Here is a 23,061-nt window from a genome sequence, read left to right as displayed (position 1 = left end):
CTGCAATGTCTGCTTCCCGGGTTCAAGTGATTCTCCTGTCTCAGCCTCCTGAGTAGCTGGAATTACAGGCACCCGCCACCACGCCTGGCTAATTTTTGTATTTTTAGTAGAGACAGGGTTTCACCATGTTGGTCAGGCTGGTCTCGATCTCCTGACCTCATGATCTGCCTGCCTCAGCCTCCCAAAGTGCTGGGATTACAGGCATGAGCCACCACGCCTGGCCTTATTTCTGAGTATTCATGATTTATGGCAATATACTTAGTTGCATGAGTTTAATAAAAATCTGTTTTCTTTCTTAACAGGACATAATTTTGACACTGATTATTTTACCAAGGCTTTGGCTAGAATGCCATATTTTAAGATATAAGCAGACTGCTTTGAGAACTTGAGATTGATGTTATAGAACTGATTAAAAAAAAAAAAAACCCTTGGAAAAACTGACCTCATACTTTGTCTACGCATTTCCTTTACAGGGTTCCTGACAGGTAGTAAGTAAGAATATCACTTTCTCACAGACCTAGGAACCACACGTTATTTTGAGACCTTGAGAAGACAGAAATTTACCTCATTCATACAAGTATCTGCAGGCACAGATAAATCCTTGGCTGGACTCAAGAAAAACTCTAATCTGAGATTCCTTATGAAAAGCTCTAGCAAAACCAATTCAAAAAGAGCCTAGGGCCATGCACAGTGGCTCAGGCCTGTAATCCCAGAACTTTGGGAAGCCAAGGCGGATGGATCACCTGAGGTTGGGAGTTCGAGACCAGCTTGACAAACATGGAGTAACCCCGTCCTGACTAAAAATACAAAATTAGCTGGGCTTGGTGGCGCATGCCTGTAATCCCAGCTACTCGGGAGGTTGAGGCAGGAGACTCGCTTGAACCCGGGAGGCAGAGGTTGCAGTGAGCTGAGATTGCACCATTGCACTCAGCATGGGCAACAAGAGTGGAAACTCTGTCTCAAAAAAAAAAAAGAGCCTATTGGCCAATAATTATTCTTGCTGCGCTTTATGCAAATAATCAGACCAAGTATAATAAGACTAAAACTTATTTTGCAGATACGTTGGTCCCACTATGATTTTGATTTTGGTAAAAATAGGGGACTGGAGAGAGAAAAATTATTTCAAAGAAAATTATAGTATACTCATTATAAGATTCTAGCCTTGTCCATTGTTTTTCAGTTTTCACTATTTGTCTACAATTTATTCAGACTAGATCCTGAATTCTTCCCTGGCTATAAGTCTCCAAAGTAACATTTTCAAAAGAAAAATTTCTCCCATTTTTCTCACTTGGAATCACTAGAAATTAAAACTGTGCTTTTCTTACAGCCCTGCAAACTGAAGCTAGAAAATTTAAACTTTGTAGCGTAATAGCAGAAATAGTAGCATTTGCAGATAACTGTATTTTCACAAGCTTACTTTTTCTTATGTACAATGTAGACTTACTAAGTGCAAGACAAATGCATAATAGATTTTTTCTCTACTCCCTTCTTTTCACCTATAAAATGTAGATTCACTGAGCACTAATCAGAGCCTCACACACCCCACCTTTGTGCCTGCCTACTGAAGTATGGACTTCTCGGTAGCATATCCTAAATTACTTTTCCAGGATTGCATTCCATTTGTTTCTATAATCTGGTCTTGGTCCCTCCCTTTTGTTTCTCTTTTTCCCTTTTTTCTTTCTCTCTTTCCCTTTTTTCTTTCTCTCTTCCTCCCTCTATTTTTCTCCATGGGACAAGAGACTTTACAAGCCCCTAAGAATAAGCCTTCCTAGCAACATGGGATCTAATCTTCCAGGAATAAATCATTCTAGCAGAAGAGGTTAGACTAAACCCATGAGCAGACACCCATTTTCTTCTACCATGCTTTCTCTGAAAGATTTTGAATAACAAGGGAGAAATGTGAAAAGAAAATAGAATCTCAGGACCCCAAACTGCTATGCAAGAAATTAAGCTTGGAAACTGAGTCATGCAAAATTTGCCTTCCTTTTGTTCCCAAACATATAACTGTAATTTTACATGCTTACTTTAGCTTATGTAAAATATAGATTTACTGAACATGATGTGAATGCATAACTGACTTCTTCCTCCCTCCCTTCTTTTCACATGTAAAATGTAGATTCACTAAGGACTAATCACAGCCTCACAAGTATGTAACCACTCGCATCATTGCCTACCTGTCCTTCCTTTTTTTTTCTTTCCTCTCCTGCTTGCCCTTTCTCCTTTAAATATTGAAGGTCCCAAAATCCTCCTTGGAAAAAGCACAGGTCACAGGTCCTATTGTGGCTTATGTTTCTTTTCCCCCAGCATATTTTCAACCTTGGCAAAATGAACACCGAATTGATTGAGATCTGCCTCAGTCACTTTTTGGTTTACAAAGCTAAATTAATTACATTTGTAAATTAAAAACAAGGGGCCAGGTGCAGTGGCTCATGCCTGTAATCCTAGCACTTTGGGAGGCCGAGGTGGGTGAATCACCTGAGGTCAGGAGACCAGCCTTGCCAACATGGCAAAACCCTGTCTTTACTAAAAATACAAAAATTGGCCAGGCATGGTGGCAGGCACCTGTCATCCCAGCTACTCGGGAGGCTGAGGCAGGAGGCAGAGGTTGCAGTGAGCCAAGATCACACCACTGCACTCCAGCCTGGACAACAGAGTGAAACTCCGTCTCAAAAAAAAAAAAAAAAAAGAGGCTGGGCACATTGGCTCATGCCTGTAATCACAGCACTTTGGGAGGCCAAGGCAGGCAGATCATGAGGTCAGGAGTTCAAGACCAGCCTGGCCAACATGGAGAAACCCCATCTGTACTAAAGATACAAAAAATTAGCCAGGCATGGTGGCACACACCTGTAATCCCAGCTACTCGGGAGACTGAGGCAGGAGAATCACTTGAACCCAGGAGGCCAAGGTTGCAATGAGCTGAGATCACACCATTGCACTCCAGCCTGGGCAACAAGGTGAGACCCCATCTCAAAAAAAACAAAAACAAAAACAAAAACAAAAAGATAGCAGCTATTTAGAAAAAAAAAAACAAGAGCTTGGAGTCGCAAAGAAGACAAGCACTCAAACAAAAGGATTTCTCAGCAAGGCAAGTTTACTTCTGCAGAAGGGTGCTGCTTGCACTTCTGGCTGCTGTGAGAGCACACCGAACAATGGACAGAAGCGGGTTTTATCCCTAACGCAATCAGCCCCTGCTACTGTGTCCTGTCCCCATTTGCTGAAGTCAGACTGCACAATCTAAGCTGATCCCAATTGGCTATTTCAAATGGAGCAGGAGTGTGAGTAAGTAGGGCGGGAAGGGCTGTTTCAGCGAGAAGAGAGAGGCCATCCTTTACTGTGCAAAACATGTCAGGGCATGGCAAAGGCAGGAAGAGCCCTCTGCAAGTTACAGATTGGAACTGGTGGGAGTTGGTGTTTACAGAGCGGGTAACTAGGAACAAGAGAGTACAAGGAAGTTGGGTTTTAGAAATAGAAAACAAAGAACAAGGAAGTTGAAGAAGCTGAACCTTTGAAGAGGAACTTACTGTATCTAACAGAACAAATGAGGCTTCTGCAAGACAATTGAAATGATACACTCATAACAATCCTTCATGAAAGTAACATATTAGCCACCTGAGTTTCTGCTTTAGGTTATGAACTCCAAAATGGACTGGCCCCCAGTAATTTACAGTAGGTAGTCCTAAGCCATAAATAAATAGAATCTGTGAATATTAGCTTTGTTCATCTGTAAGAACTTAAGAAAGTGCTGGGCATTGGGTCAGTTCAAGTCTATTGGATGAACTGTGAATCTCATAATCATGGAAATGTAGGAATAAAGATAAATATACATAAACCAGGCCAGGCTCGGTGGCTGACTCCTGTAATCCCAGCACTTTGGGAAGCCAAGGCAGGAGGATCACCTGAGGTTGGGACCAGCCTGACCAACATGGAGAAACCCCATCTCTACCAAAAATACAAAATTAGCCAGGCATGGTGGCACATGCCTGTAATCCCAGCTACTCGGTAAGCTGAGGCTGGAGAATCGCTTGAACCCTGGAGGTGGAGGTTGCGTTGAGCCAAGATCGTGCCATTGCACTCTAGCCTGGGCAACAAGAGTAGAAACTCTGTCTCAAAAAAAAAAAAAAAAAAAAAGTAAACCACAGATTACCTAATGCTAAGGTTTTGTTACAGGAAAGGAGTCTTGATTCAGACCCCAAGAGAGGGCTCTTGGATCTTGCACAAGGAAGAATTCAGGGCAAGTCCATAGAGTAAAGTAAACCAAGTTTATTAGAAAAGTAAAAGAACAAAAGAATGGCTACTCCATCAACAGAGCACCCCTGAGGGCTGCTGGTTGCCCATCTTTATGGTTATTTCTTGATGATATGCTAAACAAGGGGTGGGTTATTTATGCCTTCCCTTTTTAGACCATATAGAGTAACTTCCTGTCGTTGCCACAGCATTTGTAAACTGTCATGGTGCTGGTGGGAGTGTAGCAGTGAGGACGACCAGAGGTCACTCTCATCACCATCTTGGTTTTGGTGGGTTTTGGCTAGCTTCTTTACTGCAACCCATTTTATCAGCAAGGTCTTTAGGACCTGTATCTTGTGCTGACCTTCTGTCTCATCCTATGACTTAGAATGCCTTAACCGTCTGGGAATGTGGCCCAGTAGGGTTCAGCCTTATTTTACTCAGCCCCTATTCAAGATGGAGTTGCTCTGGTTCACATGCCTCTGACAGTTTGAATGACCCCCCAAAACTCATGTTGACATTTAATTGCTATTCTGATAGTATTAAGAGGGGAGACCTTTAAGAGTTGATTAGGTTGAATAGATTAATGTCATTATTGTGGGAGTGGGCTCCTGATAAAAAGTATGTTTGGCCCCTTTGCCCTACCTCTTTCACCATGGGATGACACTACAGGAAGGCCCCCACAAGATGCTGATACCATGCTCTTGGACTTCCCAGCCTCCAGAACTGTAAGAAATACATATTTTAATAAATTGCCCAGTCTGTGGTATTCTGTTACAGCAGCAGAAAATGAAACCTAGTTTGTTATGTTATCATGTTTATTTATTTATGTTTGTTATTCTTGAGTCATAATAGAGTCTTACTCAGATGTGCATTCATGCCTGGCCTCTGCAGGAGGGGCCTGTCTTCAGCCAGGGACAAGCAGAACATTATGGTCAGCATCATCCACAAGGTCAAGAGGCCACAGAGCCCCCTGAGGGCAGTATACTGGCCCCTTCGATATTGTATCCTACCCAGCAGGTTAGTAGGACTGCATGACTGACAGGAATCATTGTAGCCTTCATAGCAAAGTTTTATGGAGACGGGGCTAAGGCTATTGAAGTCCAGCCATTAGATTAATGTAGGAGCTTGCTGTCAGAGACCCTGCTGGGCACTTTTTGTTCCTGTCACAGATGACCTTCACAACAACCTTTCAAGAGAGCTCTTTTCATTTCACTTTTCTTGCATGTGGATGTCCAGTTTTTCCAGTGCCATTTATTGAAAAGACAGTCTTTTCTCCACTGTATTGTCTTTGCTCCTTTATCTGTATTTACGTGGGTCTATTTCTTGGTTCTCTATTCTGTTTCATTGATCTATTTGTCTATTCTTTTGCCAATACAACACTGTCTTTTTTAAATTAAATTATTTTGGTTGACAAATAAAAGTTATATTTGGGTGTATAGCATCATGTTTTCATATACGTATACATTGTAAAATGGCTAAAGCAAGCCATTAACATATACATTACCTCACATACTTTTTGTGGTAATAATGCTTCAAATAATTTATCTTATAATTTTGAAATATACAATATGTGGTTACTAAGTTTAATCACCATAAAGTACAATAGATCTCTTAAACTTATTCTTCCTATCTAATTGAAATTTTGTGTTGGTCGGGCATGATGGCTCATGCCTGTAATCCCAGCACTTTGGGAGGCCGAGGCGGGTGGATCACTTGAGGTCAGGAGTTCGAGACCAGACTGGTCAACATGGTGAAACTAAAAATACAAAAATTAGCTGGATGTGGTGTCACATGCATATAGTCCCAGCTACTTGGGAGGTTGAGGCACAAGAATCACTTGAACCCGAGTGATTCAGAGACTGCAATGAGCCAAGATCATGCCACTGCACTCCAGACTGGGTGACAGAGAGAGACTCTTGTCTTTTTTTTTTTTTTTTTTTTTTTTTTTTGGTAGAGTCTCTCTCTGTTGCCCAGGCTGGAGTTCAGTGGTTCAGTGGTGCAATCTCAGCTCACTGCAACTTCCACCTCCCGGGTTCAAGCAATTCTCCTGTCTCAGCCTCCCGAGTAGCTGGGACTACAGGCGCATGCCACGACACCCGGCTAATTTCTTTTGTATTTTAGTAGAGACAGGGTTTCACCATGTTGCCCAGGCTAGTCTCTAACTCCTGAGCTCAGGCAATTTGCCTGCCTCGGCCTCCCAAAGTGCTAGGATTACAGGCTTGAGCCACTGCGCCCAGCCGAGACTCTGTCTTTAAAAAAAAAAAAAGAAAGAAAGAAAAGAAATTTTGTGTCATTTGCTTACCCCTCCCCAATCCTCCCACCTCCCAGCCTCTGACAACTACCGGTTTACTCACCATGTATATGAGTTTGGCTTTTTTTACATTCCACATATATGTGAGATCATGTTTGTCTTTTTGCGCCTGGCTTATTTCACTTAACATAATGTCTTCTAGGTTCATTCATGTTGTTGACTGAATAGTATCCCACTGTGTATATATACCACATTTTCTTTATACATTCATCCATTAATGGATACTTAGGTTGATTCCATATCTTGGCTCTTGAGAATAACACTGCAGCCAGGTGTGGTGGCTCGCACATGGAATCCAGCTACTCAGGAGGCTGAGGCAAGATGACCACTTAAGGCCAGGATTCTGAGACCAAGCTGGGCAATGCAGTGACACCCTAACTCTAAAGAAAGAAGAAAGAATAATGCTGCAATGAACATGGAAGTGCAGACATCTCTTTGACACACAGATTTTATATCCTTTGAATATATATTCAGTGGTAGGATTGCTGGATCATATGGTAGTTCTATATTTTAATTTTTTGAGGAACCTTCATACTCCTTCCAGCAATGACTATACCAATTATCTGTCTGGATTACTGCAGTTTTATAGAAAGTCTTGAAGTCAGGTGTGGCAGTACTTTGACTTTGTTTTCCTTCTATATTGTGCTGGCTAGGCCTTTTGCCTCTCCATATAAACCTTTTTTGTTTGTTTGTTTTTTGTTTTTTTGAGACAGAGTTTCGCTCCTGTTGCCCAGGCTGGAGTGCAATCTCAGCTCACTGCAACCTCCACCTCCTGGGTTCAAGCGATTCTCCTGCCTCAGCCTCCCAAGTAGCTGGGATTACAGGCACCCGCCACCACACCCAGCTAATTTTTGTATTTTTAGTAGAGACGGGGTTTCACCATGTTGGCGAGGCTGGTCTTGAACTCCTGACCTCAGGTCATCTGCCCACCTCGGCCTCCCAAAGTGCTGGGATTACAGGCATGAGCCACTGTGCCCGGCCTCTCCATATAAATTTTTAAATCAGCTTGTGAGTATACACAAAATAACGTCCTGGGGTTTTGACTGGGATTGCATTGATTCTATAGATCAGGTTGGGAAGAAATGACATATTAACAATATTGAGTCTTCCTGGTCTTGCATCCCACGTTCAAGCTATTCTCCTGCCTCAGCCTCCCGAGTAGCTGAGATTACAGGTGCCCACCACTACGCCTGGCTAATTTTTTGTATTTTTAGTAGAGATGGGGTTTCACCATGTTGACCAGGCTGGTCTCGAATTCCTGACCTTGTGATTCGCCTGCCTCAGCCTCCCAAAGTGCTGGGATTACAGGCGTGAGCCACCATGCCCAGTTCTTTTGTAGCATTTCAAGATGTTCCAGGCTTATCTTGTATTTTTCCTACTTCACCCCTAGAATCAGCTATTTTTCTAAGGAGCCCTGGTTCCTTCTATTGGAGATTGATGTATTATAACCAAAATCTGGGCATTGGGTGCTCATTTCACTTTCCTAAGGAGGACATAGAGGTTCTGTTGATGACATCTGTGATACCTCTGTCTTTGTCTTCTTCATTTAAAAGAATGTAAACAAGGGACACACAGCAAAGGAGATGCAGTACAGAGCAATTTATTGCAAAGGAAAAATGATATTTTGAAAGTTAAGTGCAGAATAGATAGTATGCCCTGAGAGAGAGGATTCAGGGTGGGCTGCTCCTAAGGATGAGACAGCATTGATTATTGCTGCAGAAACTCCCTTTATGGGGGTCTTACATGATTATTCATAAGGAGGTGGGAAGAGGTGTTACTAGTCAGCATGTTCTGGGTGGTCCTCTGGGTGGGTGGTCCTCTGGATGCACATGTGCAGTAGCTATACATGCTTGTTCATGCATCTCATGTCTCATAAGCATCTTAAATCTCCACCCAGGTGTGTGTTTCTTACTATTGTAATGAGCTAAGGGTCAGTTTGACGGTAGGTAAAATCAAAATGCGCATGCTCTCTACAGGGTAAATTCCCTACTGGAGATAGCTTTGCTTGAATGAGCTGGTCTACAATGTGAATGCTGGAGCTTATTGTGTTGTCTGTATGGTTATCACTGTTGCTGCATCCCAAGGACACAGTTACTTCCTTGACTCCCTATCCTGCCTCAATTCCTCCCTAAAAGATCTTAGGACCCATAATCATACGGGAGGATGAGAGGCTAGGTCATTTCTTCCAGAGCTGCTTCCTGCTGAGTGCGGCATTGTCCTTGCCTAACCTGGGCCCTGAAGTCTTTTCCTGCCTAGTCTAACAGTGTGTAAGCCATGTCTTTCAGGGGACTGGTGGGCAAGATGTGAGATAGCTAATTAGCAGCCAAAGGTTGGAAGCCTTGCAAAACCATCACATGAACCGGGATTTGCTGTAGGTGACAAAGCAAGAAATCAGCAATTTTTTTTTTTTTTTGAGACAGTCTGGCTCTGATGCCCAGGCTGGAGTGCAATGGAGTGATCTCAGCTCTCAGCTCACTGCAACCTCTGCCTCCCAGGTTCAAGTAATTCTCTTGCTTCAGCCTCCCAAGTAGCTGAGATTACAGACGCCTGCCACCACACCTGGCTAATTTTTTGTATTTTTAGTAGAGACAGTGTTTCGACATGTTGGCCAGGCTGGGAAATCAGCATTTTAAACAAAGTTGGACCAAAAGTTAGAGCTAAACATATGGTAATGACTGGCATTGTTAAAGGGAGCAAGGCAGAAAACAGCCATTGCTTCCAAGTTCCCACGGAAGCTCCTAAATATTCAATTTTGTCTGCCTGGGTAATGATTTTCTTATTCCAAGAAAATGCTATTAATATATATTTGTAATTTGATTGATGCGAAAACAACATTCTTCTTCTAGATACAAACATGTTCCTCGTTGTCCAACTGTGAGAAGGTCTAAGGCTCTTCGGTTTTGTAGGACTGCCAGGAAGTCCAGCTGTTGCTGAAGTCTAGTGAGGCTCTCTGCTGTTTGTCAGAGGGCCACTGTGGTCTCCTGAGACAGTTTATGCTGGGTTCCCAAGGCTCTGTCTCTGTGGCTGGCTCTGCTAGTCCCGATAGAGAGGATAGCATTAATCCCAAGGGAACAAGGAATCCTGCTCAGCGGTGGATCTTGTGATGTTGGTACATGGGGAAAGGGAGAGATTTGTTAGCCAACGCAAAAGGTAGATAAGGGGAAATGTAAACTATGGGACATCGTCCCTTCCATTGTGGAGGGAGTTGTAGACGTGCTGAAGATCCACAAATACCAACAAATTCTTTTTTTTTTTTTTTTTTTGAGACAGTCTCACTCTGTCGCCAGGCTGGAGTACAGTAGTGCGATCTCAGCTCATTGCAACCTCCGACTCCCTGGTTCAAGCGATTCTCCTGCCTCAGCCTCCTGAGTAGCTGGGATTACAGGCACATGCCACCATATCTAGCTAATTTTTGTATTTTTAGTAGAGACAGGGTTTCACCATGTTGGCCAGGATTGTCTCAATTTCCTGACCTCGTGATCCACCCGCCTCAGCCTCCCAAAGTGCTGGGATTACAGGCGTGAGCCACTGCGCCCGGCCAACACAAGCAAATTCTATGTGATGGTGAAATTTGTGCTGCAAAAGCATTTTGCATCGAGGTGGTAAAAGTAATGGAAATTTGGTGGTCACTGGACTAATTAGAGGATGGTAGAGTTGAGTGGTGTTAATAAGCTTTTTGAAATAAAGTTCCCCCTTTAGGGTTCTATCATGAGGTGTATAAATGATTCTGTGAGAAAGGTTTAGATATACTGACTCTCTTGTGGAGTTTTTCTATAAAAGGAGTGAAACTGGCATGGTTGCTGTAAAGGCAGAAGGGGAATTGCTCTGGGTAAAAAGCAAGGTAAGAAAGCAATTTTCCCCTTGGCAGAGTGAAGCTATTATTCATAGATAAAAATGGAAGTTTGAACTGGCAGTGGCCAGGTCCAAGGAACTCTCTTTGTATTGTTTGTTTAGTCAGATATTCCCACATTATGGTCCAAAGTTTGTTCCAGGAGGTGTATAGGAATGTTGGCCCATTCTTCCCGAGAAACAGGTTTTGCACATTTTTAAATTTTGGTAGTCATGCAAAGCCAGCAAGACTGAGTTAATTTTTATAAATTAGTAGTATGGTTTATTATTTCTTTAGCAGATAAGGTCGTTTTACTAAAAGCGCCTAAAATACAGTAAATAAATAAGAAAAAAATAAAAACATCACATTTCACTGTGAGTTGTTTTCTTGAATAGAAGCTTATGCTGAGGCAACATTAATTGCCTGATGTTTTGGGTCTTGGCTGTTTTTGGACAGGAGCCTTAGATCCTCCAGTGCTTCATAGGAATAGCTTGGAGTCTTTGTTTCAAGTTTCTGTGATGACTTAAAAGGAATCATTTTTTATTTTTGATAAACACACCAAAGGCCTACACCCCTAAGTTTTACTGCAGCAGAAGTTGGTCAGCTGCATGGTAGAGTGAAAATCCTAGTCTGGAGTTTGCTATTAACACCAATGACAGTGTCGTGTTTGGTAGACAGAGGCCCAGGGCAGACAGTGAGAACTGACAGGCCAGCCTCTGTCTTTAAAAGGATATTGATATTTTTGCCTGTCATGTCCAGGGTCATCCGAGGCTCCATTGCTGTGACTGGGGCTGATTGCCACATAGGAGCTGTTTTTTGCCTTTGGTCTCTTTAGTCTTTAGCCAGGGACAATAAGGAATTAGGAGTCCCTCCTCCCTTCAGAGTTGGAGACAGTCCTTCTTCCATTGCCCTTCTTTGTCACATTGATGACAGGCTCCAGAGGGTTTGCAAGCCTGAAGGCCTTTGTTACTTACTTAGCTCCGGTGTCCAGGCTTTTTATAAATGCAGGAATAGCCCTTGGGTTCCACTCAGGATGACCTGGAGGTGGGAGTTTTCGCATAGTGAGTGAAGGCCAAAAATTGGGACTATCTTTTGTCTCTCTTTTCTTCCCTTTGATCTCTATGTGCCTTTTCCACTCTGTCTTGGTAATTAAAGACACCAAAAGTTAGGTTTAGCAGTTCATTTATTGGGACTTGGGGATTTATGACTAGTTTTGTGACTTTTTCCTGATATCTGGGACAGACTGACTCATGAAGTAGGTCTCTAAGAGGATTTGGTTGTTTTTCTGTGTGTTACCTGAGAGAGGGAGATACAGATAGAGAGTGAGAGTAGGTTGCTTTTTGTTTTAGGGGGGCAATAGGATACTCTGCTATGAGTTGTCCCAGCAGGACTGGGCTCTTTAGGGAGTGTTTGGTGAACAAGCTGATAAGGACGGGGTGCAGAAGACTGTGTGTCAAGTGAGGAAGGACTACAGGAGTAGAAGCTTAAGAGGTTTGAAGAGTAACCCTGGACTAGATTGTAAGGGAGGAAAGTTGTTGGTAGGAGGTATTTTTCTTTCTTTTTTTTTTTTTTTTTTTTGAGACAGAGTCTCACTCATCACCCAGGCAGGAGTGCATTGGTATGATCTCAGCTCGCTGCAACCTCCGCCTCCTGGACTCAAGTGATTCTCCTGCCTCAGCCTCCTAAGTAGCTGGGATTACAGGCCTGCGCCACCACACCCGACTAATTTTTTTATTTTTAGTAGAGACAGGGTTTCACCATGTTGGCCAGGCTGGTCTCGAACTCCTAACCTCAAGTGATCCACCCACCTTGGCCTCCCAAAGGGCCACTGTTGCACCCAGCTGGTATATTTCTTATTATAGAGTCATTAATTATGTTAGATTTCCCCAAATTCTTTTTTGAGACAGAGTCTCGCTCTGTCACCCAGGATGGAGTGCAGTGGTGCGATCTCGGCTCACTGCAACCTCCGCCTCCCACGTTCAAGTGATTATCTTGCCTCAGCCTCCTGAGTAGCTGGGATTATAGGTGCAAGCCACCACGCCTGGCTAATGTTTGTATTTTTAGTAGAGATGGGGTTTCACCATGTTGGTCAGGCTGGTCTCGAACTCCTGACCTCATGATCCACCTGCCTCGGCCTCCCAAAGTGCTGGGATTACAGGCGTGAGCCACTGCGCCCGGCCTCCCAAATTCTTTTGAATAACATGAGCATAATAGATTTGGTATCAGTCTCTAAGGGACTGGTCTTAGTATAGAGCTGTCTGGTTAGTAGGGGGAATAATGTCAGGTTCCCCTGGGCCCTTGGAAAATCCCTGATCATCCTCTTTTTTTTTTTTTTTTTTTTTTTTTTTTTTGAGATGGCGTCTCTCTCTGTCACCCAGGCTAGAGTGCAGTGGCTGAATCTTGTCTCACTGCAACCTCTGCCTCCCAGGTTCCAGTGATTCTCCTGCCTCAGCCTCCCGAGTAGCTGGGACTACAGGCACGTGCCACCATGCCCAGCTAATTTTTGTATTTTTAGTAGAGACGGGGTTTCACCATATTGGCCAGGCTGGTCTCAAATTCCTGACCTCGTGATCTGCCCGCCTTGGCCTCCCAAAGTGCTGGGATTACAGGCATGAGCCACTGCACCCAAACTTCCTTTCTTTTTATTTAAAAACAGCAACAACAACAAAAACTCTAATTGTAAAACAGTATTGTTTGGGACTATGCAATGTTGAAAAGACCTAATCATGGAAATTTATTTATCTTTTTTTTCAGGTTAGTAATGGCCAACCTTATATGTGCCCTTAATGTTTTAATTTTGGCCTTAAAATAACAGCTTAGGACATGTAAGTAGCTATGTTCATTAGGCTTTCTAGGTCTCGTAAGGGGAATTTGGTAGAAAATATATTTCACCCAGCAATTAGTTTTCTTCCAGGGCTGGGCACTGTGGCTCACACCTGTAATCACAGCATTTTGGGAGGCTGAGGCAGGCAGATTGCCTGAGGTCAGGAGTTCCAGAGCAGTCTGGCCAATATGGTGAAACCCCATCTCTACTAAAAATACAAAAAAATTAGCCAGGCGTGGTGGCACACACCTGTAGTCCCAGCTACTCGGGAGGCTGAGGCAGGGGAATTGCTCGAACCAGGGAGGTGGAGGTTGCAGTGAGCTGAGATCGGGCCACTGCACTCCAGCCTGGGTGACAGAGTGAGATTTCATCTCAAAAAAAAAAAAAAAAAAAAGTTTTCTTCCGGTAAAGATAAAACTCTGCTCTCACCAAAGGCAGAGGAGCCCTGACACACAAAGCAGAAAGAAAGAAACTTTAGGACAATTTTTATCAGTCTTACGGGTTAGAGAGAAAAAGAAAGCAAATGAAAGTCTGTGAATACAGATGGATCAAAAAGGACAATAAATTTTCATGGAAGGACAGAATTCAAAAGGGGTGAAATGCAAAGAAGTGCAAACATAACAAGATGATTGTTAGTAGTAAGAAAAATGAAGATCTCCAGACATTGCAAATGAGGATTCCCAGACAGTGCACAGCCTGGACGGAAGCCCTGCCAGCTTCACAAACTTCCTGTCAAGGAGGGCCACAGTGAACTAGATCTACTTGGTGTGAACTTTGAAGTCCTCACCTCTGCTTGTCACCTATCAGGCTATCAGGATGAACTGATAAATCAGCTGAAGGGAGCAAAGTCACAGTGCGTGAGAATTGTTTTGGAGATTTGTAAGTGGAAGAATGAGAGGAAAGGGAGAGACTCAGTGATGGAAAAGAAAACCTTAAGCCTTAAAGTGGTGAGGATTGTATCAATAGTTTTACTCTTTGGCAATTGTTTATTATATTTATTTAAAAAAAATTTTTTTTTGAGACGGAGTTTTGCTCTTGTTGCCCAGGCTGGAGTGCAATGGCATAATCTCGGCTTACTGCAACCTCCGCCTCCTGGTTCAAGCAATTCTCCTGCCTCAGCCTCCCGAGTAGCTGGGATTACAGGAATGTGCCGCCATGCCCAGCTAATTTTGTATTTTTAGTAGAGATGGGGTTTCTCCATGTTGGTCAGGCTGGTCTCAAAATCCCAACCTCAGGTGATCTGCCCACCTCGGCCTCGCAAAGTGCTGAGATTACAGGTGTAAGCCATCGCACCCACCTATTATCTTTTAATTTATACAGTTTCAAAATATTCCAATGTTTAGTATATACCCTAGAGGTGTTTCAGTGACAGTAGAGGAGGTGGCTTTCTAGGTAACAAGAGAATCCTGCAACCACAGAAACATGTACCAAAATCCAGGAGGTCATCGGCATCCCTGTGAGCTAAGCCGGACGATGGAGTCCAGGGTGTTCCCTTGAATCCCCATGAAACTGAGGCCCTAGGAGGTCATGGGCATTTGCCATGCACCATTCTAGGTCTCACTGGTGCTGGACGTCTCCAAGCTGAACTGAAGTGATCTCTGCTGCCAGCCGGGGAGCCTGGATGTCTCACCAACAAGCCCTTCCTTATTTCACTGATCTGCCATTTTTAATGTCCAGTCATCATGCTTGGAATGCCTGGTTATAGTCCCCATGACTACACATCCATGTGGCCACACATCCTGCACTCAACATGGATGGCCTCTTGGAACGTCTCCTGTTCTCAGAGGAGACGTTCAGAACACACTCCTCTGAGACTCAGAGGAGTCTCAGAACACACAGAGCCTGGAGGAATGGGGACTGTTGGCAAAAGTAGATCTAATGTGTCCCTCAAGGTGAACAAAAATCTTTGAAGAGATTACTTGATTAACAAACAAGTGCTGGGCGCGGTGGCTCATGTCTGTAATCCCAGCACTTTGGGAGGCCAAGGTGGGCTGATCATAAGGTCAGGAGTTCGAGACCAGCTGAGCCAGTATGGTGAGACCCCGACTCTATTGAAAATACAAAAATTAGCCGGGCGTGATGGTGCACGCCTGTAATCCCAGCTACTTGGGAGGCTGAGGCAGGAGAATCGCTTGAGCCCAGGAGGTGGAGGTTGCAGTGAGCCGAGATAGAGCCACTGCACTCCAGTCTGGGTGACAGAGTGAGACTCTTGTCTCAAAAAAAAAAAAAAAAAAAAAGTTACAATAGCCAGTAAGTACAGATCAGGTGCAGTCCTGGGAGGAACAGCAAAACAAAAAGTGAAACAGAAGCAGCAAAAGTCCCAAGGCTGAATAATCAGGGCGTTCCATCCAAATAAGGTAATTGTAAACACTGTAAAAGCAGCAGCCAAATGGAAAGCAATCACAATTAGTTGCTCAAAGAATGTGAGTGAGTTAAAAGGTCCTCCCCCAAAACCTTAATAGATCTGGGGAAAGCAGTGATAGTCAATCAGGGGTCTCTGGCTGCCATAGTACTCACCAGTAGTGAAGGGAAACTGAAACCAACGAAGCAGACAAACCTCTGAGTCATGGCACCGGAAATGTTGACGGCTGTTGTAATACCTTGGTTCTTGACTTCTTCATTTAAAAGAATTTAAACAAGAAACACGCAGCAAAGGAGATGAAGTACAAAGCAATTTATTACAAAGGAAAAATATTATTTTGAAAGTTAAGTGCAAAATAAACTGTACACCCTGAGAGGATTCAGGGTGGGCTGCTCCTAAGGATGAGACAGCATTGATCACTGCTGGAGAAACTCCCTTTATGGGAGTCTTACATGATTATTCACAGGAGGTGGGTGGGAAGAGGTGTTACTAGCAAGCATGTTCTGGGCGGTCTTCTGGGTGCACGTGTGCAGTAGCTGTACATGCTTGTTCATACATCTCATGACTCATTAGCATCTTAAATCTCCACCCAGGGCTGTGTTTTTTTTCACTATTGTGATGAGCAAAGGGTCAGTCTGAGAACAGGTGGAAATGCACGTGTTCTGTACAGGGTAAACTCCCTATTGGAGATAGCTTTGCTTGAATGAGCTGGACTACAATGTGAATGCTAGAGTTTATTGTGTTGATTGTGTGGTCATCACCAGTCGCTATGTCCCGAGGACATGTTTACTTTTTTCATTACCTATACTTCCTCAATTCCAACACCTGCCTGAGCTTACACAGGCAAATAAATGACTCATTTCAGCACCACCTTAGAGCTTATTCAGTGCAGCCTTTGACATCCCTCAGAGGAGAAGTTTTCCAAGCATGATTTTATTTTGTAAAGCCTCCGTTTTTTCAGCCTGCAGAGCTGAGACATTGATAATTTTATTCTCAAATATTTAGAGACTTTCTTATAAGATTTTCACATCTTGGTAACAAATTTCACTTACAAAATTTGCCAGAATAGGCAAAAGGAAAGAGACAGCAGGAGGGATCACTAAGATTTTTCTTTCCTGTGGAGTATTTTACTGTTCCTGCTTCTCTTTTCACTTTCCTGGGCTTGGGGGAAGGGCAGCTCCCTCGGACCATGAAAGAAAAATGGTAATACGGAAACATCTGTCTTTATCGCCTCCCCCAACCCTTCCACTCTGCTCTGGCTGTGCCCATTCTCCCTCCCACCCCCTGGCCCATAAGCCTTTTCCTTCTCCCAACCTCACCGAGAGCCCAAACTCTCACCTACAGCTGGCTCCTCAGTGGGAACTGAGTCATTACCTGCTAAAGGGTAGAAGAGGAGAGAGAGAGGCCAGAGCCTGGGGATGGGGCAGAAGGTGCGGCAGGAAGGAAGGTTAGAGTGAGAAAAATTTCCAAATAAGGGGTGATGTGTGAGTGCTCAGAGGGTGACTGAGGACATCTCCAGCATTTCCATTGAGGAGGGAGGAAGGAGGGGCCCTTGGGTTCTGGGGCAGATGCCGGCAGGGTCTGGATGAGATGCCCCCAACCTCAACCCTGGTCCTCTGAAAACACTTCACCCAGTCACACTGAGGAGCCCCTCCAGGCCCAGGGGCCCCTCCAGGTAGGCGTATCTCAGCTCCTCTCTGGAAGGACCCCCACAGCTGCCCAGCCCTGGTATGTCTCATCTCCCTGGTTCTGGTCCCCTTGAGTCTTGAGTCCGGGGTTGGCTCCTTCCCTTCCTGCAGCCGGGTCAGAGTGAGCTTGGCAGATGAGAAGCCAGGTGCTCTGCATGGCAAGGTGTGGTTGCCCTCAGGGTCCTCCTTGTCAGGGACCACAAGCCCTGGGGAAGGAGGCACTCGATGTAGGAGACAGAGAGCAGAGAGGTGGAGTGAGGGTGGGACACGCTTTGGCCTCCCCTCCTCTCCTAGTCTTCCTCCACATGCCAGTGCCTTTCCCTCCCCAACTCCACGTCGTATAAGAGCCACAGCAGGAAGGGTAGACCTGGGTCCCCAACATTCTTTGAAGAAGTCTTTCCATAAGTGTGTCCACCTCCATTCCCACTGCAGCTTTAGGGTCTGCCTCAGTGCAGAGCCCTGGGTATGTACAGAGCATAGGTGTACATGAGGGTGATTCTGGAAGGTTCTTCCTTTGCACATACCTGCGTGTCTCAGTTTCTCTCCTCTTCAAGTCTGCTCAAATGGCACCTTCATGAGGCCCACCCTGACCACCCTACTTAAAATGCCACCTCTATTACTTTGCATTGATTGTCAACTTTGCATTTTTTTTTTTTTACTTTTTTTCTTTTTTTTTGAGGTGGAGTCTTGCTCTGTCACCAGGCTGGAGGGCAGTGGTGCGATATTGGCTCACTGCAACCTTCACCTCCTGGGTTCAAGCGATTCTCCTGCCTCAGCCTCCAGGGTAGCTGGGACTACAGGTGCACGCCACCACATGCAGCTAATTTTTGTATTTTTAAGTAGAGACAGAGTTTCACCATATTGGCCAGGATGGTCTCGATCTCTTGACCTCGTGATCCACCCATCTCGGTCTCCCGAAGTGCTGGGGTTACAGGCGTGAGCCACCGCACCTGGCCTATTTTTTCTTTTTATCACCTATCACTTTGTAAACATAAAAGTCCTTTTCCAAAGATGGCCTCAACAATATCTCCCATCCCACATGCTCTTTAGCAATGTGACCTTGCCATCCTCTATCAAGAGCTGATGCTAATCCCCCTTTTTGGATCTGGGACTTGCTTTGGTGACTAGAACATGAGGAACGTGATGCTGCCTGACTTCTGAGGTTCCAGCATAAGATGCCTTGTGGTTCTGACTTGGCCACTTGAAACACCCGGACCCCAGGTGCAGAGCCAGAAGCAGCCAGGGCACGTGGAGGAGCAGGTGGAGGAGAAACCAAGTCACCTGGTTCACAGCCTCAGTGAGTTCCCAGCCAACAAGCCAGCACCAACTGCAGCCCTGTGCAGGAGCCTCTTGAATGTGTTGGACCAGCTGGGCTCCAGATGATGGTGGCCCAGCCCATGTTGTATGGAGCGGAAGAGCTGCCCAGCTGAGCCCAATCAGCCCACAGAATGAGAGATAATATAAAGGTTGTTTATAATATATATATACATATATATATATTTTGGGGGGGATGGAGTCTCACTCTGTCACCCAGGCTGGAGTGCAGTGGCACAATCTTGGCTCACTGCAACCTCCACGTTCTGGTTTCAAGCGATTCTCCTGCCTCAGCCTCCCAAGCAGCTGGGATTACAGGCACCTACCACCACGCCCAGCTAATTTTTGTATTTTTAGTAGAAACAGGGTTTCATCATGCTGGCCAGGCTGGTCTCGAACTCTTGACCTTGTGATCTGCCCACCTCAGCCTCCCAAAGTGCTGGAATTACAGGCGTGAGCCACCATGCCCGGCGTTTGTATGCGTTAAGATTATTTTTTGCTCAGCAATCAATTGCTGGAACACATCCATATAATTCACTACTGTTACTATATTTTTCTTTATTGTCTTTCAGATTGTAAGCATCAGGGAGCAGGTGTTAGTCTCTTTTGATTAAATGATCACCAGGCCTAGAAAAATGCCTGGCACAGAAGCACTTACTAAATATTTGTTAAATGGATGAATAAACTATGTGACCAGAATTCCTTAATACTGGGTCCGAGACTAGAAAGTGGGAGTTACTGGTTTGGTTTTGGCACTTGTTTAGTCAGCTTGTGCTGCCATAACAAAACACCACAGATGGATTGGTTAACAACAGACATTTCTTTCTCACAATTCTGGACCCTGGAAATCTGAGGTTAGGGAACCAGCAGATTCAGTTCCTGGTGAGGGCCCTCTTCCTGCCTGGCAGACAGCTGCCTTCTTGCCATATCCTCACGTGGTGAAGAGAGTGGGAGCTCCAGTCTCTTCTTTTTCTTAAAAGGACACTAATCCCATCATGGGGGCCCCAACCTCTCAACCTCTTCTGAATCTAATCACTTCCCAAGATGGCCACCAGTCTCAAGGAGTTTACTGTCACAGTGGGAGCAAAGATGCTACAGCAGGTTGTAAAATTAGGTGTCATCCCAGTCAGTGGGGAGAGGACAGGTAATTCAGGGAAGGGGACCTGGATAGAGCTCACCCATAGGATATGGCAGGTCCCAGAACTCTACTGAAATCAAGTCTGGATAAAAGTCAATAATATTCTTCTGACCGAATTCCTTTCAGTCTTCCTGAGGGATGGGCAGGCTCATTCCAGAATAAAGAAGATGCCTGGGGTAAAGAAGACTAGTCTCCAAGGGCACTGGCCCAGGACACCTAGGTTCTACTGGTCACCAACGCCCACCCAGATCTCTCCTGGGTGGAGCCTTGTTCCAAGCCTCTCACAGCCCTTGCCTGCATTCCCATGGTGCTCACCATGGATAACAGGGCCACAGCCAGCCTCAGAGCCAGACTGTTAAGTGAAACCACTGATCCTTGCTGAATTACTTCTTTGAGGCTGAGATAAACTTCACATTTCAGCCTCATTAATAAGATTAATTGTAAATCCAAATGGCCTGCAAATCTATAAACAGTCGCTCAGTTGATTAGCCAGAACATTGAGGACTGTTAATGATACAGGAAAAGGCCCATTTTGGAGGTGAGAAGCTGAGGAGCCTGAAACTGTTTCCATTGTTTATGAAAGTAATCTGACAATTATGAATGAAAATACCCACCACCCCCCGACCCAGCAATCCAAGGTGGGAAATATCTTTTTTTTTTTTGAGACGGAGTTTTGCTCTTGTCCCCCAGGCTGGAGTGCAGTGATGCAATCTCAGCTCACTGCAACCTCCATCTCCCAAGTTCAAGTGATTCTCCTGCCTCAGCCTCCCAAGTAACTGAGATTACAGGCGTGTGCCACCATGCCAGGGTAATTTTTGTATTTTTAGTAGAAACGAGGTTTCACCATGTTGACCAGGCTGGTTTCGAACTCCTGACCTCAAGTGATCCGCCCACCTCAGCCTCCCAAATGCTGAGATTACAGGTGTGAGCCCAAACTCCTACTTTTAAATCACTGCATAATAGTCCATAGTCCATTGAATGGAGTATAGCAATAAACACTGTTACATATTCTGAACCTCAACTCCCTCCCTCCCTCCCTTCCTCTCTCTCTCTCTTCTTTCTTTCTTATTTTTTGACACAGGGCCTCACTCTGTCACCCAGGCGGAGTGCAGTTGTGGGTTAATCATGGCTCACTGCAGCCGCGACCTCCCCAGGCTCAGGTGATCCTCCCACCTCAGCTTCCGGAGTAGCTGGGACTACAGGCATGAGCCACCTCACCCGGCTAATTTTTTGTATTTCTGGTGGAGAAGGGGTTTCACCATTTTGCCCAGGCTGGTCTTAAACTCCTAGGCTCAAACCATCTGCCTGCCTCACCCTCCCAAAGTGCTAGGATTACAGGTGAGCCACCACACCCAGCCAACTGCCTTTATTTCTGTAAGAGATATTTCCCGGCCAGGCGCGGTGGCTTACACCTGTAATCCCAGCACTTTGGGAGGCCGAGGCGGGTGGATCACCTAAGGTCAGGAGTTCGAGACTAGCCTGGACAACATGGCAAAACCCCGTCTCTACTAAAAATATAAAAATCAGCCGGGCGTGGTGGGGGGTGCCTGTAATCGCAGCTACTTGGGAGGCTGAGGCAGGAAGAATTGCTTGAACCCGGGGGGGTGGGGGTTGCAGTGAGCCCAGATGGCGCCACTGCACTCCAGTCTGGGTGACAGACCAAGACTGTCTCAAAAAAAATAAAATACATAAATAAATAACAATAATAATATGTAAGATTTGTCCCACGGCATTTTGAGGTGATGGCAGGCAGAAATAAAGCCAGTCCCACCCTTTCTGGGCTAGGGAAAGCTGAGATGGTCTTCGGCTCCGGGTGAGTCACTCCCCAGGGTCCAGGCCTGGCTGCCCGTTCCCCTCCCCCTCCAACCCACCTACAGCCCCTTCTGCTCTGCCCCATCAACTACATTTTCTCCCTCAGCACTCGCCTTAGATTCCTGGACCCACAGCACAGAGGCGACCTCCTCCTTGCAGACTTTAGGCGCCACTGCGGGGTCCGGAAAAAAAAGAGAAACGGCCCAGCGCTGTCACTTACATAACCCAGGGCGGGGCTGCGCTCGGCGACCGCAAGCGTTTTGAATTCTGCGCCCCAGAGTTCACTGCGAGGACTGGGATCACCCGTCACCCCGCCCTGGTCTACGGAAAATGACAAGTGTTTACTGATATAGAAACGGAATAACGGCGCTGTGGGCTGGGGTGGGCGGAGCTGCCTTCAGGCTTCTGGTCTCCAGCGGCGGGGAACTCACACCTGCCGCTGTGAAAATGCAGACCCGCGGGGCAGTAATTCCGAGTCCAGCCTGGGGCGCGATCTGGAATCTTGACTCGCTTGAAACACCACGACGGATTCGGAGACAGGTGAGTAGAGAAATGAGCCTCAGCCCCTCCCACGGGCCGCCCACGGATTCCAGGATCCGGAAACTCTTCCTGCTGCTGCGTCACCCCAGGAAGGCAGCGCCCGCCTCTGGGCAGTTCTGATGGAAACTGGCTTCGCCGCCCAGAGGAAAACCCACAACTAAGGGGCCAAGAAAAAGCCTCCATGGTCCCGCCCTTTCAGTGAGGATCCTAATTTATACCCCGAGTGTGGCCCCCATCAAAGTCTGCAGTGACAGCCGAGCGCGGTGGCTCACGTCTGTAATCCCGGCACTTTGGGAGACCATGGCGGGCGGATCACTTGAGGTCAGGAGTTCGAGACCAGCTTGGCCAACATGGTGAAGCCCCTTCTCTACTAGAAATACAAAAATTAGCCGGGTGTGGTCGTAGGCGCCTGTAGTCCCAGCTACTCGGAGGCTGAGGCAGAAAAATGGCTTGAACGCGGGAGGCGGAGCTTGCAGGGAGCCGAGATCGCGCCACTGCACTCCAGCCTGGGCGACAGAGACTCCATCTCACACACACACAAAAAATGTAGAGTGACGTTCACTGAAATGATACTAGACCAGCGGGAGGGACCCAGAGCGCTGCGGTTCACAGAATGCGGTGACAGCGCCGCCTCGCGTCCTTTACTTCAACTGCCCCAGGCAGACGTGGTCACGTGTGTTGGCCTGGAGGCTGGAATACACCGGGGTCAAATGCAGAGTGGAGAAAGGAGGGAAGGATGGGAGGACGTGTTGAAGAAAGACAGTAAGAGCTAGCGCTATGGTTCATATCTGTAAAACTAGAGTTTTCGGAGGCGAGGCAGGAGGATCGTGTGAGACCAGGAGTTTGAGGTCGCAGTGAGCCGTGATCACACCACTGCACTCCAGCCTGGACGACAGAGTGAGACCCTGCTTTTATATACTTTTCATATTTTCTGTAATTAAGCAAGTTTTGTGTCCGGAATTGGTGGGTTCTTGATCTCACTGACTTCAAGAATGAAACTGTGGACCCTCGCGGTG

At 45.8% G+C, this 23,061-nt stretch overlaps 1 long non-coding RNA gene across 1 annotated transcript, besides 11 other annotated features; it reads right to left on the bottom strand.

Moving 5' to 3' along the window:
* Positions 3,128 to 4,029: an enhancer, noted in NCBI's record as "OCT4 hESC enhancer chr6:31183567-31184468 (GRCh37/hg19 assembly coordinates)". NCBI's record gives its function as "activates a minimal SCP1, AML or CMV promoter by ChIP-STARR-seq in primed H9 embryonic stem cells {active_cell/tissue: H9 hESC(primed)}" and the evidence as "EXISTENCE:reporter gene assay evidence [ECO:0000049][PMID:30033119]".
* Positions 7,166 to 7,351: a silencer, noted in NCBI's record as "fragment chr6:31180245-31180430 (GRCh37/hg19 assembly coordinates)". NCBI's record gives its function as "represses an EF-1alpha promoter that drives an FKBP-Casp9 reporter gene in an ReSE screen in K562 erythroleukemia cells {active_cell/tissue: K562}" and the evidence as "EXISTENCE:reporter gene assay evidence [ECO:0000049][PMID:32094911]".
* Positions 7,853 to 8,847: an enhancer, noted in NCBI's record as "OCT4 hESC enhancer chr6:31178749-31179743 (GRCh37/hg19 assembly coordinates)". NCBI's record gives its function as "activates a minimal SCP1, AML or CMV promoter by ChIP-STARR-seq in primed H9 embryonic stem cells {active_cell/tissue: H9 hESC(primed)}" and the evidence as "EXISTENCE:reporter gene assay evidence [ECO:0000049][PMID:30033119]".
* Positions 13,745 to 14,463: an enhancer, noted in NCBI's record as "OCT4-H3K27ac hESC enhancer chr6:31173133-31173851 (GRCh37/hg19 assembly coordinates)". NCBI's record gives its function as "activates a minimal SCP1, AML or CMV promoter by ChIP-STARR-seq in primed H9 embryonic stem cells {active_cell/tissue: H9 hESC(primed)}" and the evidence as "EXISTENCE:reporter gene assay evidence [ECO:0000049][PMID:30033119]".
* Positions 14,464 to 15,183: an enhancer, noted in NCBI's record as "OCT4-H3K27ac hESC enhancer chr6:31172413-31173132 (GRCh37/hg19 assembly coordinates)". NCBI's record gives its function as "activates a minimal SCP1, AML or CMV promoter by ChIP-STARR-seq in primed H9 embryonic stem cells {active_cell/tissue: H9 hESC(primed)}" and the evidence as "EXISTENCE:reporter gene assay evidence [ECO:0000049][PMID:30033119]".
* Positions 15,184 to 15,903: an enhancer, noted in NCBI's record as "OCT4-H3K27ac hESC enhancer chr6:31171693-31172412 (GRCh37/hg19 assembly coordinates)". NCBI's record gives its function as "activates a minimal SCP1, AML or CMV promoter by ChIP-STARR-seq in primed H9 embryonic stem cells {active_cell/tissue: H9 hESC(primed)}" and the evidence as "EXISTENCE:reporter gene assay evidence [ECO:0000049][PMID:30033119]".
* HCG27 (HLA complex group 27) lies at positions 15,851 to 22,059 on the bottom strand. The gene is made up of 2 exons (NR_026791.1): positions 21,937 to 22,059; positions 15,851 to 17,447 (listed from the first exon to the last, which is right to left on the bottom strand). It is a non-coding gene; the product is annotated as an HLA complex group 27 (long non-coding RNA).
* Positions 15,904 to 16,624: an enhancer, noted in NCBI's record as "H3K27ac hESC enhancer chr6:31170972-31171692 (GRCh37/hg19 assembly coordinates)". NCBI's record gives its function as "activates a minimal SCP1, AML or CMV promoter by ChIP-STARR-seq in primed H9 embryonic stem cells {active_cell/tissue: H9 hESC(primed)}" and the evidence as "EXISTENCE:reporter gene assay evidence [ECO:0000049][PMID:30033119]".
* Positions 16,783 to 17,321: an enhancer, noted in NCBI's record as "OCT4-H3K27ac-H3K4me1 hESC enhancer chr6:31170275-31170813 (GRCh37/hg19 assembly coordinates)". NCBI's record gives its function as "activates a minimal SCP1, AML or CMV promoter by ChIP-STARR-seq in primed H9 embryonic stem cells {active_cell/tissue: H9 hESC(primed)}" and the evidence as "EXISTENCE:reporter gene assay evidence [ECO:0000049][PMID:30033119]".
* Positions 17,322 to 17,862: an enhancer, noted in NCBI's record as "OCT4-H3K27ac-H3K4me1 hESC enhancer chr6:31169734-31170274 (GRCh37/hg19 assembly coordinates)". NCBI's record gives its function as "activates a minimal SCP1, AML or CMV promoter by ChIP-STARR-seq in primed H9 embryonic stem cells {active_cell/tissue: H9 hESC(primed)}" and the evidence as "EXISTENCE:reporter gene assay evidence [ECO:0000049][PMID:30033119]".
* Positions 19,430 to 20,312: an enhancer, noted in NCBI's record as "OCT4 hESC enhancer chr6:31167284-31168166 (GRCh37/hg19 assembly coordinates)". NCBI's record gives its function as "activates a minimal SCP1, AML or CMV promoter by ChIP-STARR-seq in primed H9 embryonic stem cells {active_cell/tissue: H9 hESC(primed)}" and the evidence as "EXISTENCE:reporter gene assay evidence [ECO:0000049][PMID:30033119]".
* Positions 20,313 to 21,196: an enhancer, noted in NCBI's record as "OCT4 hESC enhancer chr6:31166400-31167283 (GRCh37/hg19 assembly coordinates)". NCBI's record gives its function as "activates a minimal SCP1, AML or CMV promoter by ChIP-STARR-seq in primed H9 embryonic stem cells {active_cell/tissue: H9 hESC(primed)}" and the evidence as "EXISTENCE:reporter gene assay evidence [ECO:0000049][PMID:30033119]".
* Positions 22,060 to 23,061: the final 1,002 nt, after the last annotated feature.

Source organism: Homo sapiens, chromosome 6, assembly GCF_000001405.40.
Source record: "Homo sapiens chromosome 6, GRCh38.p14 Primary Assembly".
Classification (NCBI taxonomy): domain Eukaryota; kingdom Metazoa; phylum Chordata; class Mammalia; order Primates; family Hominidae; genus Homo; species Homo sapiens.
This window is presented reverse-complemented; position numbering and strand designations above follow the sequence as displayed.